Here is a 13,465-nt window from a genome sequence, read left to right on the forward strand (position 1 = left end):
ACAAAATAAGTCAGGAGAGTCTATTTGTATTTTTAAAGTGGAATTACATAGAGTACAACAGGAGATTTGCTCCAGCTTTTCTGACAATTAGACGGTTCAGTTTTGAACTTCGTATACTATGACACTAAATCTATCATGAACAATTTTGTTGTGTACATTATCATAACATGATTACTCATGAGTGTAAAACTAGTTGCAATTTTAGAAAATTGAGACAATTTCTTCTCAGTGATTTTTTTGTATCGATAAAGTCACTAGCTGATATGGTTTGGCTGTGTCCCCACCCAAATCTCCCAGAATTCCCAGATGTTGTGGGAGGGGCGCAAGGGGAGGTAATTGAATCATGGGGGCCGGTCTTTCCCGTGCTATTCTCGTGATAGTGAATAAGTCTCACAAGATCTGATGGGTTTATCAGGGGTTTCCGCTTTTGCTTTTTCCTCATTTTTCTCTTGCTGCTTTCGTGTAAGAAATGCCTTTCGCCTCTCGCCATGATTCTGAGGCCTCTCCAGCCATGTGGAACTGTAAGTCCAATCCAACCTCTTTTTCTTCCCAGTCTGGGGTATGTCTTTATCAGCAGCGTGAAAACAGACTGATACACTAGCATAACAGTACATCAGTGCAAATAAAAGCAATATCTTAAGTTCTCTTTTGTATCCTAAAATAGTAAATCATTATGTTAGGATTATGGATGACCTGATGCAATTTAAACGGGTGAAAATTCCACTGCAGATATAATGCACCAGCAATTATTAGGAATGCATGTGACCAGGTATCCAGCACTTAGCACCCACATGACCTTGGGCAAGTCATAACCACTTGATTAAGGCTTCAATTTTCTTATTTAATAACTGAAGCTGTTGAGGTGGATGACCTCAAATATACTAAACACAGGATCTTCCAGTGAAGAACTTGGGTTATTCATCTTCATCTCTATTCTTTGGGGTAGCGACTAATTGATTGATTAAGGGGAAACCTCTTGGGAATTTACTTCTCTTTGATAAACTCTTATGCACACACTTCTTGCTTCTCTTCAGCAGCACTGCAGCAAGAGGTGTGCCTTTCTGGGATGGGTTCTGTTACCTTTGCATCCTATATCTACCTTGTATGGGTGGAGAACTATAGTCTACACAGCAGCGTTCTGGGGCCTGCCTCCACATCAAATACACTTTGATGATGGAGCTTCAAAACTATTGCCATCATCTGGGTGCCATCTCAGACCCAGTGAATCAGAATCTCAGGGGACAGGGAGACCACCATGGCACTGGCAGGTATATTTGAAACTCCCCAGGTAGTTGCAATGGACTTCCAGGATAGCGGGCTTGACATTATGGCCATCAAGTGAATGATGAAGGCATTCCGAAATCTTCATCTTATCAGACATCTCTGGGAAAGCACATTTTTAAAATGAACCTCTGGCCAGGCACAGTGGCTCAAACATGTAATCCCAGTGCTTTGGGAGGCCAAGGTGGAAGGAGTTCGAGAGCAATATGAGAAACATGGCAAAACCCCATCTATACAAAAAAATTTCAAAATTAGGCACAGTGGGCCGGGCGCGGTGGCTCACGCCTGTAATCCCAGCACTTTGGGAGGCCGAGGCGGGCGGATCACGAGGTCAGGAGATCGAGACCATCCTGGCTAACACGGTGAAACCCCGTCTCTACTAAAAATACAAAAAATTAGCCGGCGTGGTAGCGGGCGCCTGTAGTCCCAGCTACTCGGGAGGCTGAGGCAGGAGAATGGCGTGAACCCGGGAGGCGGAGCTTGCAGTGAGCCGAGATCGCGCCACTGCACTCCAGCCTGGGCGACAGAGTGAGACTCCGTCTCAAAAAAAAAAAAAAAAAAAAAAATTAGGCACAGTGATGCACAGCTGTGGTCCTAGCTACTCAGAAGGCTGAGGCAGGAGGATAGCTTGAGTCCATGAGCTCAAGGATGCAGTGAGCAACTGTGATCGTGCCACTACACTCAGCCTAGGCAATAGAGCAAGACCCTGTCTCTATTTTTAAAAAAAACTTCCTACTCCCAAAACAGCTGGAGTCTACTCCTTCCATTGCTAGTGTCATTCTTCACGCAGTTACAAGGTCCTGGATACTGGGAATCCCTTCCTCATTTTGTCCCCTTGTCCTGGAATGTCCTTCCCATCCTTACCGTAGCAGATGTCATTCATTTGGATCTACCATTTAAAAAGCACTTACATGTGTATTTCCCCTGGGGATAAACATGCATGTAAGTGCTTTGTAAACGCCCACCAGTCACCTTGCGCAGCGGTGACAAGGTAGAAACTCCAAGTTTGCACAACTAGAAAGCGAGTCAAGACTCAAACCCAGGCCTTGGGGCTTTCCCTGCATGGCCAGCTTACCACCCTCCCTTATTCAAGGTCTTTTTCTGGGTACCTCCCTGCCAGCCCTGTGCCTAATTTAATTCCTGCCCTCCGGCACCCCTTCCCACCTCTGTGACGGCACTTACTTCTCCTAACTTCATTATCCACGAACGGGAACTGTCTGCATCTTTTGCTTCCCTTTTACACATCAGCTCCTTCAGGCAACCTTAGTTCCCCTTGACTTTGTTTACAACAGTGACTCAAAAAGAATCAGATCTTTGAACCCTGACCCTCACTTGCCCCATTGCTAAATAGTTACCACAGGCCATGTTGACTCCCCACAGCTCCCGTGAACACCCCGTTTTGTCTATTTCCAGGGCCAGTTTGCCTCGTTCAAGGTTTTATAACCTCACACCTGGCCACTGAGGCTGTCTCCTAACTGCCCACCTGGTCACTGGTATCTGCCTGCACCAAGTCCCCCTGCACCTGCGCTACAGCAAACACCATCATACAGTCTTAGAAACCTTCAGGAATGCCTCCTGCCTGCTGAGTAGATTGCAGATGTACTTGCTGGGTGTCACAGGATGAGAATTAGAAAACTAGAGCATACTTCTTTGTTTTTGCCTTGCAGAAGGCAAGCTCTTCACCAGGGACAAGCTTTGATGTCCGCCTACCTGCCTGGGAGAGAAGGGGAGATTAGGATTTGTTACAGAAGAAATTCAAGGTGCAAAGTAGGATTATGGAGCAGAACAGGAGCTGTATTTCTTTAAGGCTGTGCACTCAGCACTGCACTGGCCTGGAGCATCCACTCAGGGAGTGTGCTGACAGTGTACACAAAAAGAGAATCCTGTGTGCCATTAAGATGTAGCTGGAGAGTTTGAATTCAGGAAGGGGAAAGAATAACACAGGGGAAAGCCTGCTCTTTCTGAAGCCCATGAATTGTGGGGAGAGATAAAGGAAGGAGTTATAAAAATGTCTAGGTCCCTACTGCCTTCTCTGGCTTCTGCCCAGAGCCGGGGACCAGGTCAGGCCAAAGCTCAGGGCAGAGGGAGTTTTTGCACCCAGTCCCTAATGAGGACCATGGAAGCTCTTGCACTCCAGAACCTATGGTGGCGGAGGGGTCCTGGGTCTTCCTCTGCGGTGTAGATTCTGAGTGGAGATTCGAGGCATCTGCTGCAGTGAGGTAAGGTCACAGTGAACCTTGGAAATCAACCTTTGGTCTTGTGGGCTGGGTAAAGGGTGTGGCTGAGCCTGGTGTTAAACAGCTGGCAGGCCCTGAGGGAAGGCCAAGTGGCCAAGAGATGCCAAGGAAGGCCCTGGACAATGAGTTCCCCCAGCCACGGGCTTCAGCCATGTAGACCAGCCCAGCAAGAGGAACCCAGAGGATAAGGGACTTTCCCCAGAAACCCAAAGACATTGTGTCTGAGTACCTCCATTCTTCCAGAAGACCCGTGCTACTCCAAGTGTGGATCAGGAACGGTCTGTGAAATTTGTTACCGGTCTCAACAAGATAAGTCCAGAAACTGAGGGTAAGCATGTAGAAACGTCTATAGCTATCTGACCGAGTATTTTCATGTCTGTTCAACCTAATAAAACTTGAGCTTGGATTTTGTGTGTCTTTTTTATTTTGTTTTTTCTAGTAACTTATTTTTCTCATACTTCACAAAATATCCATTAGCACCATACTGAACATTTTAAAACAAACAAACAAACAAACAAATTGGTTTTTTATCGTGGAACGTTTGAGAAGCGCTGCGGTAAACCACAGCAAGCCCACAGGCCCCAACACCATCTTAGAAAGAGACTCAAGCAAAGAGTTACAGAGCATTTTATCCAAGGGAGACCTGGCCCTGCCTAGAGACTGTTTACTGGATCAGACTTAAAGCGCTTACCAGGTCTGGTAATAAAGCTAACATTTTTCCTGCTAACCAGCAGGTGGGGCACAGGAGGAAGCTCAGATTGACTAAAACAATGACTCTTTCTCTGCACACACAAGTTGTGGTGTGAATTAAGATTTGTAACTCCTATATGTGGGTATCTGGGTCTGCCACAATCTGGGTCCAGGTTTTCTTTCTAATTAAACGCCCATCACTTTCTTACATGAATCTCCATAGGCCCAGAATTCTCTCCCGAATCCTTTCTGACCATGCACAACCTACCATTCTTATGTTTGCCCCATCTGGCACAGCATCAGAAAGATACTCCATCTTAACAAATCTCTATTGATTTCTTGGCCTTTGGTATCACATTCTGAGCCTCAGGCAACAGTGTTTGTGACCCATCTCACTTCCTAGTACCTACCTATGACCAACATAATTGACTCTCACCCTAGATCCCACTGGTCCACCTCTCTGAGTTCACCCACAGTTGCAGTGGACCATTCACTCACATACTGACAGGTTCTTGGCATGAGCATCTCTGGCTTCTCTGAAACAGGCTTTCGCTGGGGCCACTGAAGCTTGTTCAGCCTTTGTGCAAAGCATCCCAGAAGGGCTGAGGATGGGCTACCCAACTCTCGACCCATAAGGGAGAGCAGTTGGTGAATCAATGCCCCAGCTCCTCACTCCCCAGAGGCACAACTCTGAAGTTCATTCCACAGGATTCCTCGGAGGCTTCCCATGCAATCAGGCCTCGACTGTCCACTGAAGCAGTAATGAGCTTCTCTTAATTGGCCAGCCTCCCTTGTTCCTGTTCTCCACTCCCTCACTTTTGCTTCCTGGGGTCACTTTCTAGGTGAACTACCTGAACCCAGAGTCTTGTCTCAAGTCTTCTTTAAATGGAAACCAAAAAAAGGCACCATCCCAATGGGCTTTTTGTTGTCTATGTTTGCCCAGACTCTTATTCTTCCAGCATTGGTGCAGAACCAAACTGGCTTCCAGGTGGAAGGCGCCCGTGGACCTGATCCAGGAGGAGACCAACAGCCAGGTGATATGGCCAAGAAGAGCTAGAAGCACATCTCTGTGGAGAAATGAGCCTTGAGTGATTCAGAGGCCTCATCCTCTTGCAACCTGACTGATGAAGCAGCTAGTGTCAAAGAAGATGGCAACTCTGTCACTTTTGCCTAAAAATACCCAAAGCTCCCTGTGATCCAAGAGGCCCTCATCTTTCCAGCTGTCACCACCAGCACAAACAGGAGACAGCCCTAACCCCTTACACACCACCTGATTTTTTTCACTCCTTTGTAGCTCCTTAGTAATCACTTTAACCAAGGAGGCAGAGGAAAAGATGGTACAAAGAAATACAGAAAAGTCAGGATACAATACAGATGATGTAACTCTGCCTCACCCATTGGTGACTATAACTGCCAGAAGACTGAGGGTGTTGGGGAAAGCGAGTCCCCACCCAGGACTGAGCACAACTCCCAAGGCACGCGGCCCCACCGAGTACTGAGCCTGTAGGTGCACATCCGTCTGTCTGCGAAGGTCGGAGAGAAAGGGAAAGAAAGCACTGCAAATAGGAGTGTTCAGTATTTCTCATGCAGCCTCTCGCACAAGCAGGGTGCACTCTGTTCCTGAGCTATTTCACACGCTCTTCCATTATGGAACTCAGCACACAATCTTGATGATGTTGGTCTCTGTCTCCTGCCAGCCCGTGTGTTTCTTGATGGCAGGTTTGTCTTATTTATCTTAGTACTCTCAGAGCCTGGCACATGGGAGATATTGAATAAATGTTTTTCAAATTAGGTTGCAATAAATTAAATTGGGTCTACTTTGGCTCAGATGAAAATACACTGGAGATAAAAACAAAGCGTAGTGCAGTTTGTATGAGTTGTTCTGTCTCTCTCTCTCTATATGTATATATATTTATATTTAGTTGTAAGAAATATAAATATAAATTTATATGTACACACACACTTCCTTCTGAATTGGTCTGAGTTGAGGCAAACCAATGTGTGTTCATTCCATTAATCAGTCAGGTCCAGTGTTCTGTTCATTTATAACTATATTCAATAAAGGATTCTAAATCATCATCATAGAAAGACAACCCCAGAACTCAGGGCCTTGCAGCCCAATTCCAAAGAAAAGAAAATGTGAACTTTTTCTCCAAAGTGTTAAACTGTAAGGAGTGGTTTCCCCTGTGTGTTACTTCTGGGCCCACAATTGAGTGCCAAATTGCTAATGAATAGGTAGACCGTGTTGTCCATTTACCCTTGGCAATTACGATTAAAGTTACATACTTTTTATGATATCCTCCCCAGCCCCCAGAATAAGCCATGACAGCCACACCTTTCCCCCTGAAATATCCCCTTCATTTTTCACCCGCTCTGTGGCTATTCCTGGGACTGAGCCCCTTTTCATGAGTTCCAGCGGGTCCCCATCAACCCCCAAATCCCACCACAGGCCACATCGTCCCAGACCAGACCACGTCTGTTGAGCTAGCTGTCTGTTTCTATGTGAGTCTATCACCAAAGTAAGTTACATTCTTTCACTACCAAAGTTACTGGGCCTTTTTTTTTTTTTAACAATCCTTGGAAATGATCCCAGCTTAAAAAAGAACGAAACTCTCAACAGTCAGCCAAATACAACTGTTGAATAATTTAAATGAGAGCTACTAAGTCTTTTGAAAACAACCCCAACCCTGTGTTCTCTGATGTGAACAGGAAAAAAAAAAATTATGCACCAATGTGCAGAATTTGAGCCTATGCAGATGGCATGTTTTGCACCGTAGACTGCTGTTACTGTTTTGGCCAACGCGTTCCTATGGGATGCTGAGTTTTGTTTGTGGATTGATCTCTAAGTTACTTTATAGTTGAATCTATCATCATATTTTCCTGGGATTTTATTTCTCTTCATTTTAAACAGATACATCAGAGACGGAGCAAGGAGCTTAGGCTAGCAAGCAGCCAACCTCCTCTGTTAGACCAAAATGTTCCCTCACTTTCAGAATAATCTGTGAATGTTGTTTGAAATGAAAAGAAAGAGTAAAGCATTTAGATAGTTCCTAAAGAAAAATAAAGCTTAATCAAGCCACTGTAGAGACATCTCCTTTCTTCTGGGGCCATGACCAATAGCACTGTATAGAGAATCACATAAATAGACAAACTGCTTTCCCGTCCATTTGGGACACCTTAGACAGACAGAAAGGAGAGAGTCCAGAGACCTTTACTAAGCACCCATGACGTATGATGCGCTGTGCCTGGGATAAACTGTGATTTCCAGGAGCTTCTATTCTTCTTCTACTCTTACGAGCACCTACACAAGAAGCTACAAAAAGATTTTGTAAGCTAAGGGAAAGTAGGTACAGAAATAGAGCGAATTACTATTAACAAGTTTAGCTGCAAGAACAATTTTTTTCTGACGTTGGGCACCGAGGTGACCTTCTTGTAAGTGGTTCAAACTTGGATTTATTGTCATTGTGTTCTCATCATTCTACTATAAGTGGATCAGGCACCACCGACACAAGCACACATTCATTTATGCATTCAGCACACACGTATGGTGCACCTAGTGTATGCATCATGCCAGGAACTGAGGAAGAGAAGATGATGAGGACTTCTGTCCTCCAGAAACTCATGATCTGCTGGGGGAGACGAGTATGCAAATGTATCCTTTAAGAGAACTGTCAGAAGTGCAATGAGAGAGAGAAACTGTCCGTTCACAAGACTCACTCCTTCATACCTGGATGCAATACAGATGGAGGTAAGATTTAGGACTTTCTGCAGAGCCACTGCATTTTAAGTAGACTCAAACTGCATCTTTCTAGGAAGCGAGGCAGTATTTATCTGTCCAAGCAAAAATTGAATGAAGCACATGACTTCCATGGATGCAAACATTATAAACAAGGTCTCTGTGTGAATTTGCAGGATTGAATCTCCCAGATTACAGTTGAACCCTACCACCTAGAAATACTATGATTCTTATCAGACAAAATCAAGACATACAAATTTAAGTTGGAACAAAAGAATAAAATGTAGTTGACTCACTTTATTTAGCACAGATTTGGATTTTTGTTGTTGTGTATATCAATTCAAGAACTAAGAATTCAACCCAAGTTTTAAAATGTAAAACTGACTTCACGTATCTTTAGTAAAAGGCCAGCAACACCTCCCAAAGAGTTCATAATGTTTTTAGGAATAAAGTGCCAGGGGTTGACTAAGACTATTAAGAAAATTGGGTATAAATTCGAAAGAAATTGTGTGTGGGTCCCTCCCAGACCATCTTAGCCCATAGAGGTCTCTTATTTCCTTGAGATTATTTCAAGGCATCAGAAATCTCCTTCTCACGTTACCTACCCTGCCCCATAAGCCAACATTTCATTCTCTCTTTGCATGAATCATTTCTCGCCTGTAAAGAATCTCTTGCCGTTGTTTTTTGTTTTGTTTTGTTTTGTTTTGTTTTGTTTTGTTTTGTTTTGTTTCTGAGACAGAGTCTCACTCTATAGCCCAGGCTGGAGTGCAGTGGCACAATCTCGGCTCACTGCAACATCTGCCTCCTGGGTTCAAGTGATTCTCCTGCCTCACCTCCTGAGTCACTGGGACTACAGGCACATGCTACCACGCCTGGCTAATTTTTTGTATTTTTAGTAGAGATGGGGTTTCACCATTTTAGCCAGTATGGTCTCGATCTCCTGACCTCATGATACTCTTGCCTCGGCCTCCCAAAGTGCTGGGATTACAAGCGTGAGCCACCATGCCCGGCCTTGGTTTTGCTTAGACTGAAGACTTTTCAAAATCATGAGTCAGTTCTCCCTCTTCTCTTTTCATTCCTCAAATTCTCTGAAACTCTATTAAATATAGGAATTTAAAAATGGCTGTTGAATCAGTTGTTTCAGCTCTATTGTTGCTAAGCCACCTTTGAAACAATTAAGACACCATCAATTTTTCTGCAGTTTATATAGTACCAGTGTACAAAGTAGATACTCAGGAAAAGGTATGGGTAAATTAACTGATTCTGAAGAATTGAGAATTTGTCCCTGAGTTATATAAGAATGATTGTGTATATTTTTAGTTGAAAGCATGTAATAGCCCCTAAAGAGCTTATAACGCAAACGACAACTAGGTTCTCAGGTTTTAAATCTCTGGTTAACAGGCTCATGGGTACTACTTTGCGGGACATATTTTAAAATAGAGTGGGGTGGGGGGGAATGTACACAAGTATTATTTGAATTCTATTATCATTTACTTATTTAAAACTTATTTTTGTATTTCATGTTTACTACTTTTGTTTGCTTTGCTTTGATAGAAACTAAAACCCATCTTCTCTGACAAAGTACTGTTTTTGATATTCAATAAACAGAGCTTTCTTATTCATCCTTTTCTTTAAAAATTACTTTCCTGTATTACAATTTGTATTTGTTAATCACGTATGGAATCAGCTTTTAAACAGAAGAAAACAAGCATCAGCTCTGTAGAAACTGCAGACGTTTTGGAGAAGATTAAACAAGACAGCTTCAAAAGACCAAAACATGAATCCACCCCAGCCCTTGTTGGTCAAACCACGTGGGCCTTCAGCTGTCTCGTCTTTCCAGAGTCTCATCTTATGATGAAAGTTAAATAAATTCCGTTGTAAATGATGTTTTTTAAAACTCTAAATGAGAGAAGCAATAGAGACTTTACCCCCTAATAATGGGATACTATATGTAATTCTTAAAATTAATAAAGGCCATTTGTGCTGTAAGAATTCTCCATTTTCTTTTGTAAAGGTGACTTCTTTAACCTGAATATTTTAACAGGTCAATAAGATATGCCCCTGGTAGTAGAGTGACATTTTTTTTCACTCCTCAAAAGCCATTTTATAAGACAATGCACATTTCAACATCAGCGTAAATAACAGCCTTGTTTGAAAACTCAGGAGGCAGCTTTACTCTTTCTCTGCCTTCTTTCCTACCCAGCCCTCCCCCTCCTCTGAACTGAACCACACCTCTCTAGAAATACTCGCGTTCTTAATGAAAACCATATTTAAAAAAAAAAAAAAAAAAAAAAAGTTTGCATGACCCGCCGAAACGCCTGGACAATCTTTAATGTCAGCTTCAGACGACACGTGTCTTATGAAAGTCTGGGGCCCTGCTCGTCTGGCAGAGCGAGCTCTGTCCCACATCTTTATGAGAAAGAGGGACAAAACTTCTGTTTTTGGCATTTTATGTTGGAGTCTGTTTTAAGCAAGGAGGAAAAAAATAGCAAAGTAGAGTCTAGACAGAAAAGATGGGGGTGAAATCTGGAAGCCATTCACCCCGGCAAGGGCAGCAGCAGCCCGTCGGCAGCAGGGATCGCCTTACGCTGCCTAATTACACATGAAAAATGTACACACCGCGTCTCTCAACTGCTTGGAAAAATAGATGCTAGGATGGCGCTTTTGGACGGTGGCAACCGAACCAGTTGTATATTCTGGATGCGGGATCTCTTACTCCACGCATTTTGCAATGTGATTTCCTTTTTCAGGGGCATAGGTATTCCTTTCATCCTCCCCCCAAGATGTTTTAAATGTATTCTCAATTTGGCAAATGGTCACATTCTGTGAAGAATATTTAGATATTAAAGTAGGTTCCGTATGAGATCAAGTTAGACACATTTCTATGGTAAAGAGTTTGCCTAAGAGTAAGATCAAGACTATGAAGTCCTCAACATATTTTAGGATCTCACTGATGGCTTGAGGTGATTTGCAGTTACAAGGATAACTTCTAAATCATTAGCATGGCCTGCTCATGCAATCACAGACTTCGTGCCAAGCATAGGTCTACATTTTATGCAGGATAATGATTTTTTAAGAATCCTTTAATATAGTGTCTTTTTCCAGGAGTTCAAAGCATTTTTCACAGATATTAGCATTCAGTCACATAACATTCCTGGAATCTAAGGAGGGACGAGGCCGTAGCCAGGAGCTGACTGCAGAGGAGGTGTGTGTGCAGGCTTTGATGCTGGAGAGATTCTCCTGAAGAAAAAATGGTAGGAGAGAAATTTAGAACCCAACCTTAATGGATGTTAGAGAGCACAGCTAGCTGTGTGGGTGACAGAGAGACTGACAGACAGACTTGGAGAGGTAGGTAGAGGTCAGGGAAAGCCTGGGATAGAGAAACTGTCCAACAGAAGCTCAAAGCAAGTAAAAGAGGAGGCCAGGGAGCTATTTGGGGCCCTGAAAAGGGGTCATCTATGGAAGGTTTGGGAACATCAGGATACCAGGAAGGCTGGATGCCATGAGTGGTGAAGTCAATGGGATCAGCTCCTATGGGCTCTGGGTAAACACTGGGAAGGAGCCAGGAGCTGTGGGCAGAGTGGGTGACATGGCCTGGCTCAACTTGGGGGAGGCTCCCTGGCCAGGAGAGCAGAGACTGTGGGGGCTCTAAGGGGAGACTTAGGGAGAGACTGTTGTTCTGCTAGCAATAGATGGTGATGGTTTGGACCAGAAAGAGGAAGAATCTAGAAATACTTCCCTAAGGCTGATTGAAGGCTGACTCTATCATCCTGCCAGGGGCCCAGGGGGAATTGCAGTAGGTACAGCAAACATCAAAGACAAGGGCCTCCTTCTGACATGAAACATCTATGTGCCCTTCAGTGAGGATTATTAAGCGCAGCGGGGCAATCCCACCAAAGACCACCAAAGAACCACACCAAAGACCACTAAGCAGCCACTAAAAATGATATCTTGGGGTGGTAACTGCAGCAGGTGTACACTTCAGTCAAAATACCTCAAATTGTGCATACACTTAATCTCTGGCCAGTTTATTCTATACAGAACATGCTTTAATAATAAATAGTAAATTAATTATTTAACCAACGTAAGGCTAGGATAAGCCTCGTACGTGCCTCTGAATGTCCCTGGGGCTGTACTTCTGATTGAAACCACAATAGCAATAGCTAATATTTTCCTCATGTTGCCAATGTGACCAGAATTCTTCTAAGCATTTTGCATAGATTAATTCAGTTAACAGTTCCAGCAATGCTATCAGATAGATACTATTATTATCTCCATTTCGCTTGGGAAGAAACGGAGTCACAGAAAGTTCGCGAGCTTTGGCCGAAATGTCTCATCAGTGGGAGCCTGAGGTTATCTGCAGCCTCCTTCCCTCACAGGGCAACTCTAAGAACCAAGGAGAGGCAGGCACCAAAGGGCTCTGAAAAGTGCAAGGATCGGCCTGGCGCGGTGGCGCACGCCTGTAATCCCAGCACTTTGGGAGGCCGAGGCGGGCAGATCACGAGGTCAAGAGATCGAGATCATTCTGGCTAACACGGTGAAACCCATCTCTACTAAAAAAAAACACAAAAAATTAGCCAGTCCTGGTGGCAGGCGCCTGTATCCCAGCTACTCGGGAGGCTGAGGCAGAAGAATTGCTTGAACCCGGGAGGCAGAGCTTGCAGTGAGCCGAGATCGCGCCACTGCACTCCAGCATGGGCGACAGAGGCAGACTCCGTCTCAAAAACAAACAAAAAAGCAAAACAAAACAAAACAAAAAAAAGTGCAAGGATCCATATCTGACCAAAATGCTTCCAGTTTCTCCACGGAGATAAGGAATAGCTTGTCTGTGGTAGGAATCTGGGGAAGATTCTAGTGACCACACCAGTTTCCCTCCAGGAAACAAATAATTACTTTAATTACCCTTTCCAGAGCCCTGTTTTCCATCCTCGTAATCATTACTTTTGCTCTTTTCTGAATTCTCTCCAATTTTCTTACACCTCTCTAAAAATTTGTGGACACTATTGACCTACAAAGAAAGTTTGAAATCGTTGACAAGAAAGACGTTTGCAGGAAGACCTTGCAATAGACGGGTCAGGTTTACAGAAGATTTTGATATCTGGGAGTTATACATGAGTTACTAAAACCCTGGCTTCTGTCCCAAACTTAGGTCCCAGGTGTTTAAGTCACCAGTGAGGAACTGTTTTTGTTACTGGCTGGAGGTCTGGTGGTGTGGGGAGGTGGGTCTGTGGCAGTGATATTGAGGTTACGACCCACAGTGATTATCAGAGCTTATTGACCCTTGAAGCCTCCGGGAGTGCTCAAGTCCTCCCAGCCTCATATCCCAGCACAGAGCCCTCTCTGGAAGTAAGAGCTGGCAGGTTTGGTTCTGGGGAGGTAACTGTCTTAGGACTACACGGTGTCATTTCAGAGGCCCATTGCCCCCTCTATCAGGCACAGGAAGACCCCAAAGAAAACCTTGCTTCCACCATGAAGCTGTGCAACTTTACACAAATTCCCTAAGCTCTCTGGACTTTACTCT

This window comes from Homo sapiens, chromosome 21, assembly GCF_000001405.40.
Source record: "Homo sapiens chromosome 21, GRCh38.p14 Primary Assembly".
Classification (NCBI taxonomy): Eukaryota; Metazoa; Chordata; class Mammalia; order Primates; family Hominidae; genus Homo; species Homo sapiens.